Below are 20295 nucleotides of genomic sequence, written 5' to 3' on the forward strand. Positions count from 1 at the left end.
TAATCCTCCTAAAGGAAAGCTACTAGAAAACACTTTAGCCAAATGACTTCAGATTTATAAGCAGGGCAACTGGCAACAGAATCCAAATGAATTCTAACGTTGTCAATCAGAAATACTTTAGCTTAAAAAAAATTAAAACACATAAATTCAGCATTTTGGTTCAATCTGAAAGTCTGATAATTTGAGGTTACTATAACCCATGAAATAAAATAATGTTAAGAAAATGACTCACATTGTAGGTGCTAAAATGAACATATGCCCAATACTGACAATGCTCTCTAAGTAAAAAGGTGAATTTTTTATTAATACTAACAGTCTTGATAATCTCAAGAGACAATCCAGCTTTACAAATCTAGAACCTGGTATACAAAGCAAAACGTACATTTTTTAAGTATCTGGGGAAAAAAGGAGGTATCTGGGCAATTCAGGTCAAGTAAACTTTGTGGGGAGGAGGGAAAGCAATATATATAAATTCAGGATTTTGTGCTTCAATTACCTATACCAGCTTTGCTGATGTGGTAAGAAAGCACACATGCAGATACGGTTAGATATTTTTCCTAATTTTTTTCCACTTTCTTATTTCCTACATAGCTAAAGAATGCTTAATAGAATATAATTAAAAGGGTATATACCATCTTGCTTAATCAGGTGGGTTAGATCAACTTTCAAACAGGGGAAGAATTTGACTTGAGCCAGCAGCTGGAGTAGGCTCAGAACTGAATTTAATCAACCAAAAACCTAATGACCCATAATCAATGACATGGAATTACCACTAATAATTTTAGTGACAAGCTCATCACATTTACTCATGAATCACCTACAGTATTCCAAGCTCCCAAACTTCACAAAAAGTGAATTTCAGGTATCTGATCTTAAACACAGAAAGACCTATACACCCTTAAAAACCTACATGACCATAAAATGTAGGCCTTATGACTACAAGCATGGAGTATAAAATTTTGACACTAAGAAGTTCCAGGGAGGCAGGCCGGGCGCGGTGGCTCACGCCTGTAATCCCAACACTTTGGGAGGCCACGGTGGGAGGATCATGAGGTCAGGAGTTTGAGACCAGCCTGGCCAACATGGTGAAACCCCGTCTCTGCTAAAAAATACAAAAAATTAACCGGGCATGGTGGCGCGCACCTATAATCCCAGCTACTCGGGAGGCTGAGGCAGGAGAATCGCTTGAACCCAGGAGGCAGAGGTTGCAGTGAGTAGAGATCGCGCCACTGCACTCCACTTGGGCAACAAGAGTGAAACTCCGTCTCAAAAAAAAAAAAAAAATTCCAGGGAGAAAAAGACTACTTGCATTCAATGCCAACAGACAGTCTCCATAATATCACTACTATGAAAATGTATCGATACAAAACTACCACCACATTGTGGACTTAAAAGAAATTTGGATTTTAACAAGTTAAACTTAAGCTGAACTCACATCATTTATCATCAGGCAACCAGTATTCTCTAATATCAGGTATCACATTATAGTATAATTACTGAATAAAAGACAAGGAAGAATCCTGAAGATGAAATTTAAAAGTGAATTTCTGGATCTGTAAGAAAGGTGAATTTCCCAGTAAATGCAGGAGACTCCATGAGCAGTGCAAATTAGTCTGTTACACACCATTTTAAAACATATAATCCATACAGGAATTCCAACTGGTTAACAAATTCCATAAAGAAATGAAAGTTGTCTCTATGAAGAGGGCACAATGAAGCACCAGAAATATGATAACCATAAGCTTTATTTAACTATAATTTTCTATATTAACAAGCTCCTTTCCTATTTATCTAAATCAAATGGCTTTTATTCCACACCAATAACCTGCAAATATGACTGCCTTGGACTCACAACTCACCCCTAAGGAATCTGCCTTATGTTTGGAATCTTATTTTCACTGCATTAAAGCAGTACAGAAAAAACATTACCATATATATGACAAGGAATAAGAAGATTCACAAACGTAAGGATAGCATAAACTCATTGTTCAGGAATGTGATTGGTTACCCCATCTAACAGTCTGGTGAAAAGTGCCCAGGGAAATGAACACACAACACAGAAATACAGTCAGAAAATGAAGAGGTAGCCAATGTCCCGTTCCCACCCCCACAAAACTCCAGGATTTCTTGATAGAATGAATGTCTGCATTACTATTTTTTTTTTAAGATTTCTCTGTATTAAGGATTCCATAAACTCGTTATTCAGCTCATTCCAATGCCTGGCCCAACTGGATATACTACTAACTTAAGCCTAGGTGCAAATCAGTGTTTTGTTTTTGTTTTTGTTTTTGTTTTTGGAGACAGGGTCTGGCTCTGTCGTCCAGGTTGGAGCACACTGGCGCAAATCTCGGCTCACTGCAACTTCTGCCTCTCGGGCTCCAGTGATTCTCGTGCCTCAGCCTCCCGATCCGCTGGGACTACAGGGGCGCGCCACCATGCCCGGCTAATTTTTATTTTTTGTATTTTTGGTAGAGAAAAGGTTTCGCCATGTTGCCCAGGCTGGTCTCCAACTCCTGAGTTCAAGCGATCCGCCTGCCTCAGCATCCGAAAGTGCTGGGATTACAGATGTGAGCCACCACGCCAGGCCAAATTAGTATTATTCTTTTAAGAACCGAAGAAGGCTCAGGTTGAAAATTTTTAATTAAAAAAAAAAAAGAAAAAAGGTTTCCTTGTTTTTAAATATTTTAATGGAAACATATGAGTCAGATTTCAAAAAGTAGGCTAACGGTGTTTAAATACTGTGCCAGTGTATTTGAGAAGCTGAATGAAAACAAAAGTACCTATATTTTAAAAATAAATACAATACAAATAAGGAAAAGTTCATTCTACGATTTCAATTTATCAATCAAGCTACATGGTAAAGAGAATCATTTCAATTGTTTTTCACCTCCACAGCAGTGTTTGAGGTTGGTAGGCTCTCCCAGGAAGCTTGGAATCTTAAGCAACTCTCAATTAGCCCTCAATTTCTCTATTTTAAATTAATCTGCTGACCTGTTGTGGGTAAACATCCATAAATTCTGCCCTGGCTGAGAAACATTTAACTTTTTCGTCTAGGATGAATGTGTGGGTGTGTGTTTGTAAGGGAGGGGTAACTCCTTTTGACCAAAGTGTTGATGGTTTTCTAAGTAAATACTTGCTATCCACAAGAATTTTTTTTTTCGTTTATGCTGCTTTTTCTCCCTTTCTGCACTATAAAGGCTGGCCTTCCAATTCCTGCCCCGACCCTTCACCGTGATCCAATCCCACAAGGTTCCCCTAATTTCTGCTCCGGGTGGCACCTGACGGCCAAAAGTGAACCCCTGCGGTTGTCGCCAGCTAGACGCGGATAGGGCGGACGACTGTCACCGGGGAGCAGGCGTGGGCCAAAGCCGAGGTGATTTCTGACTGCTCACTGGCGGGCCTCGCGTGGCTGAAGGTCTCCGAGCCCCTCGGTTCGCCCCGGCAAGCCAGAAGTGCAGCTGTCGCGGGGCAGGAAGCTAATCGCGGCCCCTGCGCCGCTTTGACAGGCCGAGTGAAGAGAAAACGGGCTCACTGCAGCTAACAGCCTCACCCCTTGGGCTAGGAAGCCACGGAAGCAAAACCTCCGCCCCGGCCTGAAAGCAACCGGGAGACCGCGGAACCACTGCCACCGACTCAGCCCTGCCCAGCAGGGGCCCGCCCAGGGGCCACTCCCCAAGGGAGGCAGCCAGTCACTCGCCCGCCCTTCCGGGCCCACTCCCGAGGGGACGGTCTCCCGCCCGCCCTCACACACAGCTAGCTCTTCAGGCCAGGCCCCCAGGGTTTCGTCCACCTCTCACCTTTGACGACGCGGTCAGCCCCGGGAGGGGGCGGCGGGGGCGGGGGTGGGGGCGGTGCAGCCCGGGCCGGCTCCGGGGCGGCCATGCTGGGCCCGGGGCTCGGCTAGGCTCTGGGCCGGGCGGGGTTGGGGGCGGGGGCGGCGGCTACCAGAGCCAAGCGGCGGCGCCGCCGGGGAACATGGCGGACCCTCTTTCCCTACAGAGGGGCTAAGACCGGCATGCACTGCGCGTGCGGGGGTGGGGGCGGGGTAGGCTCTAGGGACTTGGGCAAAATTACTGAAGCTAGGAGAGAAACAGGACGAGGCCAAGGGATCAGGTTAAAATTCTTTGCATGCAGAATGAAGAATGAGGAGGTGCTGCGATCGAACGACTGCGAGGAAACACACCCGCTCTCATGGCATTCCCAGTAAACTGAGAAGACGTGATTAAACCTCAGGATCTCCTACTAATAGAGAAATGTATAACGATTTAGCTACCAGATCTGAATACTGAAGGGTTGGTAGGGGACCAGAGAATAGAGGAAGCATTGTAGGTTCTAGAGTGGAGAAGGGACCATCCAAAATGGAGTTTGAAAGAGAATTCTGGCCTTTGTGTTTAGAGTCTGGAATTGTCAAGAGTCTGAAAGCACAGAATAAGACTGCAGCTAGAGCAATTTAGGCGCCATAGTTTGTCAAAACAGGTAAGGGGAATAAAGGGGATGACACCAAGAGATGTGCAAAGAATCTGAAGAATTCACCTGAAAAGGATACAACCTCCTCCTGGAAGGCAGAGGAGTAAATAGGGAATTGGAAATTAATTCCTTATTTCTGCACATGCACAGAATCTGGGCCCAGGTGACTTATGGAACCTTTATAGAGACCACGGTGACTGACACTCATGGGAAAGGGGGTAGAGGGGCAAGAACTGACTGTTCATCAAAAATTATTAGATGAGTGTGTCCACGACACCAGGAGATATGTTGAATCATGGACAGGGACCAGCATATCCACTAAGCTCTATATATCTTGATGGTGCAGGATCCAAGTGGGATGGAACAACCAATTCCTGCCCATCCTCCTGCTCAATAATACATGTGCTCAGAATCTGTTCATAATGCATGGTGGTAAGTAAGTAGTAGTCCGAAGGTCCAAGGAGTACCTTTCTACCTCTTCTTTGTGTCAATTTCTATCCTGAGACCCCAGGAAAAGAGGAAGGGAAAGACCCAACAATGGATTTTTTCCAAAAAGGGAACCCACAAGCTATTTTTTAGAGGGAAGAGTCTCGGGAGTGAGGCACAGGTGAAAATGGATCTTTCTGGCATGGAAGGGCCATAACACCACAGGGGAAGGGAAAGGGAGAGGCCCCCACGGAAGGAGAGGAAGGAAGGGACAGGAGGCACGTCACAAACTTATAAGATAGAGGGAAGGCACCTGGAGTACATTGATCAGGAGTGAGTCTGTAAGAAGAGCTTGAATCCCCAGAAAATCTTCCTAAGGAGGGGAGGAAGGAAGTGTATAATGTACTGAGTACTGAATGCTCTGTCAGGAAAGGGATGGGAAACATCCTAGCAGCAATACTAGAAAGGAAAGGCACCCTATTTTAGGACCCATTGATTCCCACCTTGATTGTATATCCTTCAACTCGTCTCTGGCTCCTCACTTCCACTCAGTCAAAAGCCACTTCATATATTTATCCAGACTTCCAGCCCCAATACAAAGAAAGCAAGAGCATACAAAGGGAAGAATGACAAGGAATTAAATAGAACTGTCTTATAGATTTATTAATGAAAAATACTTTACAAAAACAGTATGTTTGGCCTAAAATAGTTCAGCTGACTCTGAGGGTTTACATTGACGACTGAGCAAGTGGCAATAATGGCTGTGTTATTGAGGACAGAAGGCTGTGTTAGTGTGCCTGACTCCATCTGTTCAAAAGGGTGAATGTTATGTTGGCAGCTCCGCATTCTAGGCCTAAGGTTTGGAGGGCACAGGGAATGCTGACAGGCCATAATACCTGGGCAGGGGGGCTGCCCTGATGATGTCATCAGAACCATGACCACAGGGCTACATGTCCCCCCAAGGATGGGAGACAGGGAAGACAAAGGGTCAGGTAATAGGGATAGGTGGATAAAACAAAGAGTAGAAGTTGGGAGTATAGTAGGGAACAGAGGATGAGGGCTCAGGTGGAGGTGGGGACATAAAGCATCCAGGAATAAAATGTGACCTTAAAATCCTAAGGAATGGCTAGTATCCAGAGTAATACCATGGATTCATCTTTAAAGTGGCTCAGATAAAACCCTTAAACAGCAGCTGCTTCCTTTTGCTAGGGGGAATGGAAGTTGGAATTTCAAATATCCCCTCCCAAAGAATCACATCTTTTTAGAGGTTCCTGACACCCTTAGGAGAACCCACCAATTCTATGTTGAGATGAGAATAGCACAACCATGGCAGTGATGCAGGGTACCAACGCTGCCACAGTAGTTTATTTTGTTGTTGTTTTGTTTTGTTTTTTGAGATGGAGTCTCACTCTATTGCCAAGCTGGAGTGCAGTGGTGCGATCTCGGCTCACTGCAACCTCTGCCTCCCGGGTTCAAGCAATTCTCCTGCCTCAGCCTTCCGAGTAGTTGGGACTACAGGCACGCACCGTCACGCCTGGCTAATTTTTTGTATTTTGGTAGAGACGGGGTTTCACCATGTTGGCCAGGATGGTCTCAATCTCCTGACCTCGTGATCCACCCGCCTCAGCCTCCCAAAGTGCTGGGATTACAGGTGTGAGCCACCGCGCCCGGCCCACAGTACAGTTTTACAAAGAAAGGTGTAGCTCCAGGAAAGGAAAGGAATAACCTTTACCATTGACTGTGCTGCAGGACTCTAGCCCTGATCTGCTCTCTTCTGGGAGCATCTGATAGAACAAACAGAAACCCCTCTCCCACTGTTCTCCTGTGTCCAGAGTGGGAGGCATAACTGCTTTGCCTCCAGTCATCATCTGGGGGCATATCTACTCTTCGAGGACCAGGGGTTCGGGACCCTGGAACAGGATCTGAATTCCAAGCTGACCTCAGGGGTACATGAAGACTGCTAGATGGTGGGTACACAGGATGAACAATGGGAGGGTGGGAGGGTGAATGGAAAAGATCACTCCAGGACTGAGTGTGAGGAACCTGAAGGCCCTTGCTTCTTTCTGGTAGTGTGGCAGTGTAGGTTAGTTGAGGATTGCACCCTGGAGTAGTCAGGAATCTGGTCCCAATATGCTGGTTGGTCTCTGACCAGGGTGCCCAGGAGTTGTCTGTTCTGGAGCGATGGGGGAGGCTCTGGTAGTTCAAAGTCCTTCCTGTGTACTTGGCCCCTTGGGAAGTTTCACCCCTGTCACACATAGCCAGAAACTGCTGGACACTCCTTGAAGTTCCTGGGGAAAGAAAAGAAACCCAAAGACTGAGCATCTTCAGAAAACCATTCTCCTTCCCAGAGAGCCATGCCTAGCTGTGTAGCCCAATTCCCTACTCCTCCAAGAGCATACATACAAGGGAAAGAATGAATCAAGCTGTGCTTTTGATTCCATTTCTTAAAATTCTTAATATACATCAAAATCAAATCTCATACCTCCAACCTGGGCAAATGAAACAGTCTCATGGATGTTGCCATACCTCTACCTCCCTCCACTATAATCTCTCATCCACTATACACACACCTACAAAAGAAGGGCTCCCTAATATATAGCAATATATGGCAAACGTATACTCCCTTTGTGATGACTATACTCCTAGAGCCACCATACCAAAACCTCACGCAGCTTTTCTTTTTAAAAAAAATAGAGACGGGATCTCACTGTGTTGCCCAGGCTGGTCTCGAACTGCTGGACTCAAGTCATCCTCCCATCTTGGCCTCCCAAAGTGCTGGAATTACAGGTGTGAGACGCTGTGCCTTGCTTTTTTTTTGTTTCTCCAACTTTTCTTAAAATGTTACCTTCACTTCAGTTAAGCTGCCTTTGTTTGATCTCTGAGATCTAATGTGGAATGCCTTTTCTTATACATTTATTCAACTTTGGCACTCTTGGTATCTTGGGCTGATAATTCTTTGTTGGGGTTGGGGAGAGACTGCCCTGTGCATTGTGTGATTTATTAATGAAAAATACTTTGCAAAAACAGTATGTTTGGCCTAAAATAGTTCAGCTGACTCTGAGGGTTTACAACAACAACTGAGCAAGTGACAATAATGGCTGTGCTGTTGAGGACATCCCTGGCCTCTACCCACTAGATACCGGTGGTACATCCCCTTTATCCATTGAGAACCACTGCCTCAAGCTTGTACATCCAGTGCATGAGGGGAAAAAAGAGAACATCTCACTCGGAAGGTCAAAGAAAGCCAAAATGATATTGCCCACCTTCCCCACAATTGTCTGGGTCTGTACACATGGTGTGGGTACTCCATGTAAAGGGTCTTTCCAATTCTCCCACTCATTCCTTATCTTCCTAGACCATCCCTCAGCTGAGACTCAGAGGATAGAAGGGGAGAAAACTAGCTCAGAGGATAGAAGGAGAGATGACCATTTCTGTTCTGGGGATGTCCCAAAGACTGGGTATTAACTCCCCTTTGTCAGTTAAAAGCTTATTCTGTCATGACTGAAGCAGGTCATTTTCGTAAGTAGACAGACTCTAGGGGTGCTGGTCTAAACCCTTGGTCTAAGAATCATGGTGCCCAACAAATGATTTAATATTTATCTAGATAAATGCACGACTTTGAAGCAGTAATTCATATCTTCACACCACTCCACCTTGGGATACCCCCCTCCCCATAGGTATACTGATTTGACCCTTGGAGGCCCCTGAAAAGGTACCAAATTCTGGCATATAATATTAGATTTGGGGGAGTTACCTGGGAGTCTATTGGGCTCCCCTGCCATGGTGGGCATCAGGACATCTGGGGACAGGAACTGTGGTTGGGGAAGGTAGAGTTGGGGACCGAGGAGAAACACAGAAGGGTCATGGATGACAGGGAGGGAAGAGGAGCTGGAACAACGGTGCCCGGTTTCCAAAGGCTTCCTCACGTTTGATGAATCCTTATAATGAGACAAGACAAAAAAACATAGAGATGAGGATTAACACAAAGCAGGATGTAGTTGGGTAAACACAGTGAGGCAAGCAAAGGGAAATGGAGGGAACCAGAGCACAAACATGCCTACATGCCTTGTTCTGGAACAGGACCCAATTTACTCAGTTGCTCTCCCTGCTAGCCCTCTAAGAAACTGCAAACTTCAGATCCTTATCCCTTAACCAGTCTTCCTCATATCCCTCACCTTCCCAACCCTATCATTCAGGTCTTTAGCAAACTCCTTAATGCTAACAGTAGAATTAGAGAGATTGAGATAGAAATTTAAAAATAAAAACGAAATATGAGAAATTCAGAAAGCCTGAGAGAATGAGAAAAAAAAATCCTTCACTTATTCTAAGTACTGGGAATGAAACTATATATGTTTAAATGTAGAATCAAGAACTCTACCCCATCTTCTCTCCTGTCACTGCTACACATTCCACAGCTTCCTCTTTTGCCTGTCAAGTTTGTATTTACTGATGCTAATGTCCTGCTCTACTCCCTATTAGTTATCTACTTTTATGATAAATACCCAGAAATATTCCCCTTTAACATCTGAAACACTAACATATCCAAAATTGAACCAAAATCCTTCCAAACTCCTCCTCCTGGCACCTCATTTTCCTAAATCACCCATATTCAAACATTGGCAATGACCTTGATTTCCCACTTCCCATCCACAATTCCATTACTTGCCAAGGACTATCATTTCTACCTATGGGTTTTATATTTAAATTCACCTGGACTACTGCAACAGCCTTCAATCTGCTTTTCCTATCTCCCATCCACTCCTCCTTACTGTGGCCTACAAGGTCCTGTGTGATATGGCCCTGCTGCTCCTCACTTTATTTCCTATCATTCCTGGAGCTTTTACACTCTAACTTTAATATTCCTCAAACACACCAAGCTCATTGCTACCTCAGAGTCTTTATACTTCCTGTTTCTGTTACCAAGAATATTCTTCTGATGGCTCATACTTTCATATCACTGAGATCTCTAATCAAAAGTTACTTCCTTAGAGCTGATTTCCCTCACTACCCTACTATCAGGAATAGCCCTCAAAAAAACCACTATTACCTCTTTACTCTTTATTCTCTTGCCTTATTATTCTTTATCATACTTATCATTGTCTGGCATTATGTCATTTATTTGTTTATTGTCTTCTCCCCTATTTCTTTTTACTTCTGTATCCGCAGCACCTTGAACAGTGCCTAGAACAATGTGGGCACTTAGTAATAATACATTAAATAAAATAATCTATATGCCAGTATGTCTAATTTCCTTTACGAGACTGCAAGCTACTCAAGGGCAGAATTTGTGTTGTTTCATCAGTGTATGCTCACAGCACCTACTACAAAATGGCACAAAGTAAGCATTTATCATACTGCCTAAGGACCAGGTGCCAGTCCTCTCAGCATGTGACACAGCTAATTATTCCTTTCTTCTTTTTTTTTTTGAGACGGAGTCTCGCTCTGTCACCCAGGCTGGAGTGCAGTGGCGCAATCTCGGCTCACTCACTGCAAGCTCTGCCTCCTGGGTTCACACCATTCTCCTGCCTCAGCTTCCCAAGTAGCTGGGACTACAGGCACCCGCCACCGCGCCCAGCTAATTTTTTTGTATTTTTAGTAGAGACGGCATTTCACTGTGTTAGCCAGGATGGTCTCAATCTCCTGACCTTATGATCTGCCCGCCTCAGCCTCCCAAAGTGCTGGGATTACAGGCGTGAGCCACCGCGCCCGGCTATTCCTTTCTTCTTGAAACACTCTCCCCTTGGTGACTATGGTACCACACATCCTTGGTTTCCCTTCAGTCTCTCTAATCTTTTTTTCTCAGTCTCCTTTTAGGGTTCTTCAGAAGAACCACCTTAAATCTGATGCTCTTTAGGGATATGTCCTGGCTCCTCTTCTCTTTCTGCAAGTCTTTTCCTCTTTTTCAATGGCTATGATTCCCAGATTTCAATTTGCAGCTTATATATCTCATTCCAAAAGCCTGCCAGATACCTCCACTCAAGCTTAATATATGTAAAACTGAATGCATATCTTCCCTCAAATATATCATTATCTACCCATAAAACTTGAGTATCATCCTTTATCCCCACTCCCAACATCCAGGCAGGCACCAACTCCCACTGATGTTTACTTCCTAACTGGGTCTCAAATACATCGACTTATCTCTATCCTTCCAAACTACTTACTGTGACATACAGGGCTGTCTGTGGTCCATAATATTCTTTGTATCCTCTCTTGTCAACACTCTCCATCATCTCCCCTTGCCAGACTTTCTAATCCTGCCATACTAAATAAGCTTCTTTTAATTCAGTTAATATTTGCTCAGGTCCCTTTTACTTGCTATATTCTTTTTGCTTCCTCCAGGAAGCCTTCCATGATACCTCAAGCCTGATTTAAATATCCCTTCTATTATGTTCCCATAGGATCAAATCCTTAACACATTATAACTGTTTGTTTATTTATCCGTCCCTCACTGTAGACTGTAAGCTCCATAAAAGCAGGGACTATATCTAACTCACCATTGTAGCTCCAGCACCTAGCACAATACCTAGAACACACTCAATAAGCACTTATTTATTTGTTTATTTTTGTGCTAGGAATCTTGTACAGAATCAATAAGCATTTATTTAAAAGAATGAATCAATGAATGATACAGAAGTCAGAAGAAAGGAAGCCAACTCTCCTAGGAAAAGAACAATTTGCCATTAAATGAATTGAAAGTACATGAGAACAAATGCTAGGCAGGAGAGTCCACCTTTTCCAAAAAAGAATGGCAGCCTGATCAGAATTGCTTAGGAATTTATGAACGATAAATTGAATGAAACTTACTATAAATTCGGCTGGGTTTTTTTGTTTGTTTTGTTTTGTTTTTGAGACAGAGTCTTGCTCTGTTACCCAGGCTGGAGTGCAGTGGCTCAATCTCAGCTCACTGCAACCTCTGCCACCCGGATTCAAGCGATTCTCCTGCCTCAGCCTCCCGAGTAGCTAGGACTACAAGCACCCCCCACCATGCCTGGCTAATTTTTATATTTTTGCCATGTTGGCCAGGCTGGTCTCGAACTCCTGACCTCAGGTGATCCACCATCCTTGGCCTCCCAAAGTGCTGGGATTACAGGCATGAGCCACCACGCCTGGCCTCGGCTGATTTTTAAAAATTGGAAAAATGAGTACCTCTTAGGAGGGAAACTGAATCTGAAGGGCTGGTAGAAGACAGACTTGGTTTTCACCATATATGCTTTTATACCTTTTTATTTTTGTACCATGTATTTAAAATCTGTTTTTACATTTTTCCTGAACTGACCTAGTGGACAACCTTCAATGCACTGGTACTTTGTACCCTGACCTCTACTGTGATGAACACTCAACTTGGGCAAGGAAGTGAAATTCTCCAAAGGTATGATTACCTACAAACCTAGCCACTGATATTATTTAAGTTTGTTGATCTCTAATGGCTTGGGCTTTCCTGCCTCTTCTACTTACACATTACTGCACTAGTACCATATGAAAATTCTCAAGAAGGCTTTTTTCCTCTTCTTGCTGATACACATGCATCACTTTAGATTGAAAACACACTGAATTCTATTCAATCACATACTGGGGGTGAGAGGAAAAAGCAAACCAATACTCCATCCCATTTCTTTCCTTCTTTCTTTGATTAGTGCAGTGGGTTCTGACCCAATCAGCAGCCTTTGCTTCTCAGATTCCTCTCAAGGCTTTATGACTCTTCTCACCCCAGGAAACCCTACAACACGCACGGCCTTTCAGAACTGCTACATGGAATGGACATTCCTCTGGGCTCCAGCTGAATGTTTGTAAATAAAATAATGACTGCGTGTCCTTATTTTTGCTGAGTACACAGGGCCTTTCCTCACATTACAACCTTCACTTTCTCCCTGCTTCTTCACCTGCACTGTATTTTTGCTTAGCAAGGAGGAGGGTGCTCTGAATAGATGGACCCTGATTCTACTTACAAAACTGTGGGAAGAAACCGGAGCTTCCTCCCTCTCTGAGACAACGGTGCCACTGAGACTGCGTGAGATGCGACGTAAATTCTCTGCACTGTACTGCTCATCCTCCCCACACTCCCTGCTGAGGCCTCGGCAAGGTGTAGCCTTCAAACACACAGACACATACAGGCAGACACATAATACCAGACTTATGGTTTTCCCACAGACAGTATCCTCAGGGTATGGGAAAGAGTAGGGGAAGACTCAGTAGTAATAGACACCTGAATTAGATGTATTGGTAAGATAGTGGCCATGTAACAATCTCCTCTAATTCAAAAGAAGCCCAATCATAGACCTTATTTTCTTCTGATAGCCCCATATCACCATGCCTCTGCCTTATCATCATCCCTGTCACATCTCTCCATAATTCCTTCCCCAACACACCACCCCAGGCCCAGCACCTTAGCACCTGAGGCTGCTACCTGAGAAGTACGCACTGTTCTGGCTTCATGGAGACCATGCTCCATTTCTGCTGTTGAAGTCTTTGAGAGACCAGGATCATGGGCTGAGTGCAACCTCCTCCCCATGCCATCTGCAGAGCCTGAAGAGGAAAACACAAATACAAGTTGAGGCCATCTCTTCCCCTAGGGCCTAACCTCTAAGCCTAGCAGCACAAACTCAGGAGCTGTTGTTTCATTTAATAATAAATATGCATCCTTGAATTCAACGGAGGAACATGCTCCTGGAATTTAGAAGCAAGAGGGGCTGGGCGCGGTGGCTCACACCTGTAATCCCAGCACTTTGGGAGGCCAACACGGGCAGATCACGAGGTCAGGAGATCGAGACCACCCTGGCTAACATGGTAAAACCCTGTCTCTACTAAAAATACAAAAAATTAGCCGGGCGTGGTGGCAGGCACCTGTAATCCCAGCTACTCGGGAGGCTGAGGCAGGAGAATGGCGTGAACCCGGGAGGCGTAGCTTGCAGTGAGCGGAGATCACGCCACTGCACTCCAGCCCGGGTGACAGAGCGAGACTCCGTCTCAAAAAAAAAAAGAAACAAGAATTTTAGAATATAGATAGTTTACTGAGTGTCCCCATCTTGCTTCATTTCATTTTTGTAAACATAATCAGCTTCTGTCAGACTTAGGCTCAAGACTTATAGACAGAGGAAAGTATCTAACACAGTGAGTTTTGTTTTCTAACACAGTGATTTTCTAAAGTATCTGTGGTGACAAAGGAAATTATCTCCAGTCTAGTTCAGAATAGAAATGATCATAATAATCATCTATCAAACCTCCTCATTTTATATAACAGGAAAATGAGTTCCAGGGTCTGAGAGTTTAGTAGTTTAACCAGGATTAAAATTAAATCCTCTTGATTTTCAGTACAGTACTCTTACCATCTCACCTGGTGACCTCTTTTACTCTGAGAGCAGGAGCTCCTCAGGAATGTTTTACATATGTAATGCTCTTTTCCCCTTAGCTTCTCTCAAATCATTTAAATTTCTAAACAACCACTAAATGCTTACCTCTTTTCAAAATCTTTCTAGATTGTTCAGTTGCTCTAAACTGGATTGGTGACTCCCAAGGGGCTATCCCCAATCCAACTAATTAAGTTTTCCATTCCAAAACTGTATATGCCCCTGACCTACATTTGATACATATGTCCATGGCCAATTCATGTCTTGATTTGATGATTTGATTCTAATATATATATATATATCTGGCTGAAGCTGATATTATTCATGTAAGTATTGTAAGACCAGTTATTTTCAGTATTCCTGGGTACTTAAATGCAGTGCTTTCAATACCACCTCAGATTCATCTGGGAACTTTTAAAAATATAGCTTCCTGGATGTTACCACAGAGCTGAATCAGAAGGTTTGTGGTTGGTGCCTGGGAATTTTCATTTTTGAAAGGTTCCCAAAAAGTCTAAGAAAATATCCTTGAACATTATTGGGGGAAATGGGAAATGTTACAGTCTTCCTAAAAAACAACCTGGTAATCTCCAATAAAATAAAAAATATATTTATCCTGTTGCCCAACGATTCTAATCCTGAGAAGAAGAAGAAAAAAATACCAGTTCATAACAACATATATATGAGAATATTTTCTACTGACATAATTTATAGTAGCCAAGAACTAGAAATAAAGTAATGCCCACCTATAGAAGAATAAATACATTATGGTTTAATACCAGATATTGTCCAGCCACTTAAAAAGATTGAACTGAGTTAAACTAGATGATTTGAAGAAATTTTAATGAAACATTGTTGCATTAAAAGGAAAAAAATCTGTAAAATGATAGACAAGCATTTGTTTATGTATATGTAGGTCTACATAGGATTGTATAAACAGAAAATACAGTGTATGCACACTAGATAATTACCTGGGGAAGTAGGGACTGGCTGTGAGAGAAGAGACAGGAAAATTGTCTATAATAAAAACAGCATGTGTGTTATGTTCTTATTTCTATAAAATTATTTCTGTATTTATGTGTTTTTTGGGGTTTTCTGAGCCACTCCTCAGATGACTATAGGTAGCCAGGTTTAAGGATTACAGCTAAGGCTGGGTGCGGTGGCTTACGCCTGTAGTCCCAGCACTTTGGGAGGCCAAGGCCGGTGGATCACGAGGTCAGGAGTTCGAGACCAGCCTGTCCAACATGGTGAAAACCCCATCTCTACTAAAAATACAAAAATTAGCCAGGCGTGGTGGCGGCCGCCTGTAATCCCAGCTACTCAGGAGGCTGAGGCAGGAGAATCGCTTGAACCCGGGAGGCAGAGGCTGCAGTGAGTCAACATCACGCCACTGAACTCCAACCTGGGCAACAGAGACTCCGTCGCAAAAAAAAAAAAAAAAAAAAAAAAAATTACAGCTATGGCTGGCCGTGGTAGCTCATGCCTGTAATCCTAGCACTTTGGGAGACTGAGGCAGTAGGATCACTTGAGCCTAGGAATTCAAGACCAGCCTAGGCAACATAGTGAGACCCCATCTCTAAAAAAAGAGAAAAAAAGCATTAAAAAAATTAGCCAGGTATGGTGGTGCACACCTGCACTCGGAAGGCTGAGGCAGGAGGGTCACGTGAACCTGGAAGGTGGAAGCTGCAGTGAGCCGTGATTGTGCCACCGTACTCCAGCCTGGGTGACAGAGTAAGACTTTGTCTCAAAAAAAAGAAAAAAGATTTACAGAGTAATGTTTAGAATTGGGTGTTCCTCTAATCAAGCCAAATGTGACTCCTGGACAAGAAGGTAGCCACTGGAACCTCCTGAAGGGAGTAGAATCTGATTCCTTTAAAAGAAGGCAGGGTGCGATGGCTCATGCCTGTAATCCCAACACTTTGGGAGGCGAGGCGGGTGGATAACCTGAGGTCAGGAGTTCAAGACCACCCTGGCCAACATGGCGAAACCCTGTCTCTATTAAAAATACAGAAATCAGCTGGGTGCGGTGGTGTGCGCCTGTAGTCCCAGCTACTCGGGAGGCTGAGGCAGGAGAATCACTTAAACATGGGAGGCAGAGGTTGCAATGAGCTGATATTGTACCACTGCACTCCAGACTGGGCGATAGAGTGAGAATCCAGAAAAAAAAAAAAAAAAAGAATTTAAGCAGAGGTAGAGGTGGCCATTTGTAAGGGAATTTCTAGATTCAATAGAAGAAAGGGTTAAGATGATGTCTACCCTCTCATCAATAGAAAGACTACCAGACATTATGTATTCGCTGATATGATGTAAGAAATACAAAGAACTTCCTATTAAATATTCCTATTTTTAAAATTTGTATCTGATTTTAATTGAGCCTCTAGCTCTAAGTACTAAGTTACAGGAAAAATGTGGGCTAGAAGAACATGTTTTTTTTTTTTTTTGAGACAGAGTCTCCCTCTGTTGCCCAGGCTGGAGTGTAGTGGTGTGATCTCAGCTCACCACAACCTCCACCTCCCAGGTTCAAGGGATTCTCCTGCCTCAGCCTCCCGAGTAGCTGGGACTACAGGTGCATGCCACCATGCCCGACTAATTTTTATATTTTTAGTGGAGACGGGGTTTCACCATGTTGGCCAGGCTGGTCTTGAATTCCTGACCTCGTGATCTGCCCACCTTGGCCTCCCAAAGTGTGGGATTACAGGTGTGAGCCAGTGCACCCGGCCAGAACATGTTTTTTTTTTTTTTTTCTTAAGGACTTAGACTATAATCAGCAAAATCTACAATGTGTGAAATGTTAAAAGACAATGACCAAATTTCCTCAACAAATAAATGGAGGGGGAAAAAACATAGGGTATCATACTGGCAAAAAAAAAAAAAAAAAAAAAGACTTAAGAGCCTTATCATCAAAATGCAATATGTGTGTCTTGTTTGAATCCTGACTTGAAATAAAACAACTGTATAAAGACATTTATGGGACCACTGAGAAAACTGGAATATTGGCTAGGTATTATATTAAGAGATTATTGTTAATTTTTTAGGTATAATAATATTATTGGTTTGTCTTTTAAAAAAGAATCTGGCCAGGTGCAGTGGCTCATGCCTGTAATCCCAGCACTTTGGGAGGCCAAGGCAGGTGGATCACCTGAGGTCAGGAGTTCAAGACCAGCCTGGCCAACATAGTGAAACCCTGTCTCTACCAAAAAAAAAAAAAAAAACAACAAAAATTAGCCAGGCGTGGTGGCGCGTGCCTGTAATCCCAGCTACTCAGGAGGCTGAGGCAGGAGAATCGCATTAACCTGGGAGGCAGAGGCTGCAGTGAGTTGAGATCACGCCATTGTATTCCAGCCTGGGTGACAGAGCGAGACTCCGTCTCATTAAAAAAAAAAAAAAATCTTTATTTCTGAGAGATACATGCCAAATTATTTATGAATGAAATAATATAATATCAGAGATTCAGAGATTTGTTTTAAAATAATCTAGAGGAGGCTGGGCATCGTAGCTCATGCCTGTAATCCTAGCACTTTGGGTGGTTGAGGCGGGTAAACTACTTGAGCTCAGGAGGTAGAGACCAACCTGGGCAACATGGCAAAACCCTGTCGCTCCAAACCACACACAAAAATTGGTCGGATGTGGTGGTGTGTGCCTGTGGTCCCAGCTACTCAGGAAGCTGCAGTGGGAGGACCTCAGCAGTGGCCCTGATGACACCACTGCATTCCAGTCTGGGCAACAAAGCAAGACCTTGTCTCAAAAAATAAAATAAAATAATGTAGAGGGGAAAGGAAAGTGGGGGAGGTATAGCTAAATCAAAACTGGCCATATGTGTGGTGGCTCACGCCTGTAATCCCAGCACTTTGGGAGGCCAAGGCGGGCGGATCACGTGGTCAGGAGATGGAGACCATCCTGGATAATATGGTGAAACCCCGTCTCTACTAAAAATACAAAAATTAGCCTGGCATGGTGGCACGTGCCTGTAGTCCCAGCTACTTGGGAGGCTGAGGCAGGAGAATCACTTGAACCCGGGAGGCGGAGGTTGCAGTGAGCCGAGACTGCACCACTGCACTCCAGCCTGGGAGATAGAACGAGACCTCGTCTAAAAAATAAATAAATAAAATAAAATAAAACAAAAACTGGCCATATGTTGATAACTGTGCAAGATAATCACTATGGAAGCTGGTTATAAGTACCTGGAGGGTTATTATAACATTTATTCTTTTTTTTTTTTTTTTGAGATGGCAGTTTTGCTCTTGTTGCCCAGGCTGTAGTGCAATGGGCAGCTCACTGCAACCTCCATCTCCTGGGTTCAGGTGATTCTCCTGCCTCAGCCTCCTGAGTAGCTAGGTTTACAGGCATCCACCACCACCATGCCCAGCTAATTTTTTGTATTTTCGGTAGAGACTGGGTTTCACCATGTTGGCCAGGCTGGTCTCAAACTCCTGACCTCAAGTGATCCATCCACTTTGGCCTCCCAAAGTGCTGGGATTACAGGTGTGAGTCACTGTGCCCGGCCTACTCTTATTCTTTACTTTTGAATATATTTGAAATTTCCCATAACAAAAGTTAATTTTTTATTTTTTAGATATCTATAAGATGATGTCTGCCCAAGTTCAAAGTACAATGAAATTCAGAATATAGGTCAAGAGCAGTGTTTATATAACACTTTAGGAACTACGATTATGTCAAAATTAATCTGGTTACAAAAGACCACATACTGCATGATTCCATTTATATGAAATGTCCAGAACAGGCAAATCTCTAGAGAAAGAAAATAGATTAGTGGTTGCCTGGGGTTGGGGGAAGAAAAGGAGGAGATAAAGAGTGATTTGCCAACGGGTACAAAGTTTCTGATGAAAACACCTTTTTTTTTTTTTTTTTTTTGAGACAGGGTCTCCCTCTGTTGCCCAGGCTGAAGTGCAGCGGCACAATCTCAGCTCACTGCAACCTCTGCCTCCTGGGTTCAAACGATTCTCCCACCTCAAATGAAAACACTTTAAAACTGATTGTGGTGATGGATGGAGAACTCTGATATAATAAAACCCATTGTATTGTACACTTTAAATAGGTGAAATGTATGGCATGTAAATTACATATCAATAAAGCATTTTTTTTTTTTTAGCATTTTTTGAAAAACTAATTTGGTGGCCGGGCGTGGTGGCTCACACCTGTAATCCCAGCACTTTGGGAAGCTGAGGCAGGTGGATTGCTTGAGCTCAGAGTTTGAGACCAGCCTGGGCAACATGGTGAAACCCCGTCTCTACAAAATATACAAAAATTAGTCAGGTGTGGTGGCACATGCCTGTAATCCCAGCTACTTGGGAGGCTGAAGCACGAGAATCGCTTGAACCTGGGAGACGGAGGTTGCAGTGAGCTGAGGTTGTGCCACTGCACTCCAGCCTGGGCAACAGAGCGAGACTCTGTCTCAAAAAATAAATAAATTTTAAAAAGTAATGTAATTTGGTGCTTAATAAATGTTTTACAATAAGATAAAGAACTCTCAAATTATATTTTTTCTTTTTTTTTTTTGAGACAGTTTCACTCTTGTCACCCAGGCTGGAGTGCAGTGGCGTGATCTCGGCTCACTGCAACCTCCATCTCCTGGGTTCAAGCAATTCTCCTGCCTCAGCCTCCCGAGTAGCTGGGATTACAGGCACGTGCCACAATACCCGGCTAATTTTTTTTGTATTTTTAGTAGAGATGGGGTTTCACCACGTTGGTCAGGCTGGTCTCGAACTCCTGACCTCAGGTGATCCACCCGACTCAGCCTCCCAAAGTGCTGGGATTACAGGCGTGAGCCACCGCACCTGGCCAAATTATATTTTTTCATATGTGAATCCTAATTGGCATTTTCCTTCATCTACTTCCCAATTAATTCTATCTGATCACTTCTTTATTCTATGTCATATCACTCCTCTTTTTTTTGAGACAGGGTCTTGTTCTGTTGCTCAGGCTGGAGCGCAGTAGCATGACCACAGCTCGCCGCAGCCTCAACCTCCCAGTCTCAGTTGATCCTCCTGCTTCAGCCTCCCAAGTAGCTGGACTACTGACCCGCACCACCACACCCAGC

The 20295-nt window shown here is 43.7% G+C and overlaps 2 protein-coding genes and 1 long non-coding RNA gene across 43 annotated transcripts in view, besides 3 other annotated features; 1 reads left to right on the plus strand and 2 right to left on the minus strand.

Annotated features, from left to right (window-relative positions):
• PPP3CB (protein phosphatase 3 catalytic subunit beta) overlaps positions 1–4017 on the minus strand; it is a 59592-nt gene extending 55575 nt beyond the window's left edge. For 9 of the 15 annotated variants that reach the window (XM_005269944.2, NM_021132.4, NM_001142354.3 and 6 more), the window contains exon 1: positions 3798–4017. In XM_005269944.2, the coding sequence (XP_005270001.1) occupies positions 3798–3882 (85 nt within the window). In that variant the 5' untranslated portion in view covers positions 3883–4017. Of the gene's footprint in view, positions 1–3278; positions 3636–3797 lie in introns of those variants that run through there. The other 6 variants (XM_047425434.1, XM_047425432.1, XM_047425433.1 and 3 more) reach the window with 2 other exon arrangements.
• Positions 3084–3543: an enhancer, noted in NCBI's record as "active region_3563". NCBI's record gives its function as "activates an Ori minimal core promoter by ATAC-STARR-seq in GM12878 lymphoblastoid cells {active_cell/tissue: GM12878}" and the evidence as "EXISTENCE:reporter gene assay evidence [ECO:0000049][PMID:35858748]".
• Positions 3604–3953: a silencer, noted in NCBI's record as "silent region_2484". NCBI's record gives its function as "represses an Ori minimal core promoter by ATAC-STARR-seq in GM12878 lymphoblastoid cells {active_cell/tissue: GM12878}" and the evidence as "EXISTENCE:reporter gene assay evidence [ECO:0000049][PMID:35858748]".
• Positions 3745–15302, plus strand: PPP3CB-AS1 (PPP3CB antisense RNA 1). Of its 2 annotated transcripts, none has more exons than NR_132103.1 (5): positions 3745–3810; positions 4135–4476; positions 7588–7680; positions 12177–12265; positions 12798–15302. It is a non-coding gene; the product is annotated as a PPP3CB antisense RNA 1 (long non-coding RNA). The 2 variants fall into 2 exon arrangements; NR_132104.1 differs by having other exon boundaries at positions 13271–15302.
• Positions 4034–4223: an enhancer, noted in NCBI's record as "active region_3564". NCBI's record gives its function as "activates an Ori minimal core promoter by ATAC-STARR-seq in GM12878 lymphoblastoid cells {active_cell/tissue: GM12878}" and the evidence as "EXISTENCE:reporter gene assay evidence [ECO:0000049][PMID:35858748]".
• The window catches only part of USP54 (ubiquitin specific peptidase 54), a 128444-nt gene continuing 113679 nt past the window's right edge, over positions 5531–20295 (minus strand). For 18 of the 26 annotated variants that reach the window (NR_146997.2, NR_165443.1, NR_165442.1 and 15 more), the window contains 4 exons: positions 13301–13419; positions 12843–12983; positions 8648–8831; positions 5531–7181 (listed from right to left, as the gene is read on the minus strand). Coding sequence is in view for 20 of the 26 variants with exons in the window: in NM_001391951.1 (NP_001378880.1) it covers positions 6622–7181; positions 8648–8831; positions 12843–12983; positions 13301–13419 (1004 nt within the window). In the remaining 6 variants the exon portion in view is untranslated. The remainder of the gene's footprint in view (positions 7182–8647; positions 8832–12842; positions 12984–13300; positions 13420–20295) is intronic. The other 8 variants (NR_146998.2, NR_135249.2, NM_001391947.1 and 5 more) reach the window with 2 other exon arrangements.

The sequence above is a fragment of the Homo sapiens genome, chromosome 10 (genome assembly GCF_000001405.40).
Source record: "Homo sapiens chromosome 10, GRCh38.p14 Primary Assembly".
Taxonomy (NCBI): Eukaryota; Metazoa; Chordata; class Mammalia; order Primates; family Hominidae; genus Homo; species Homo sapiens.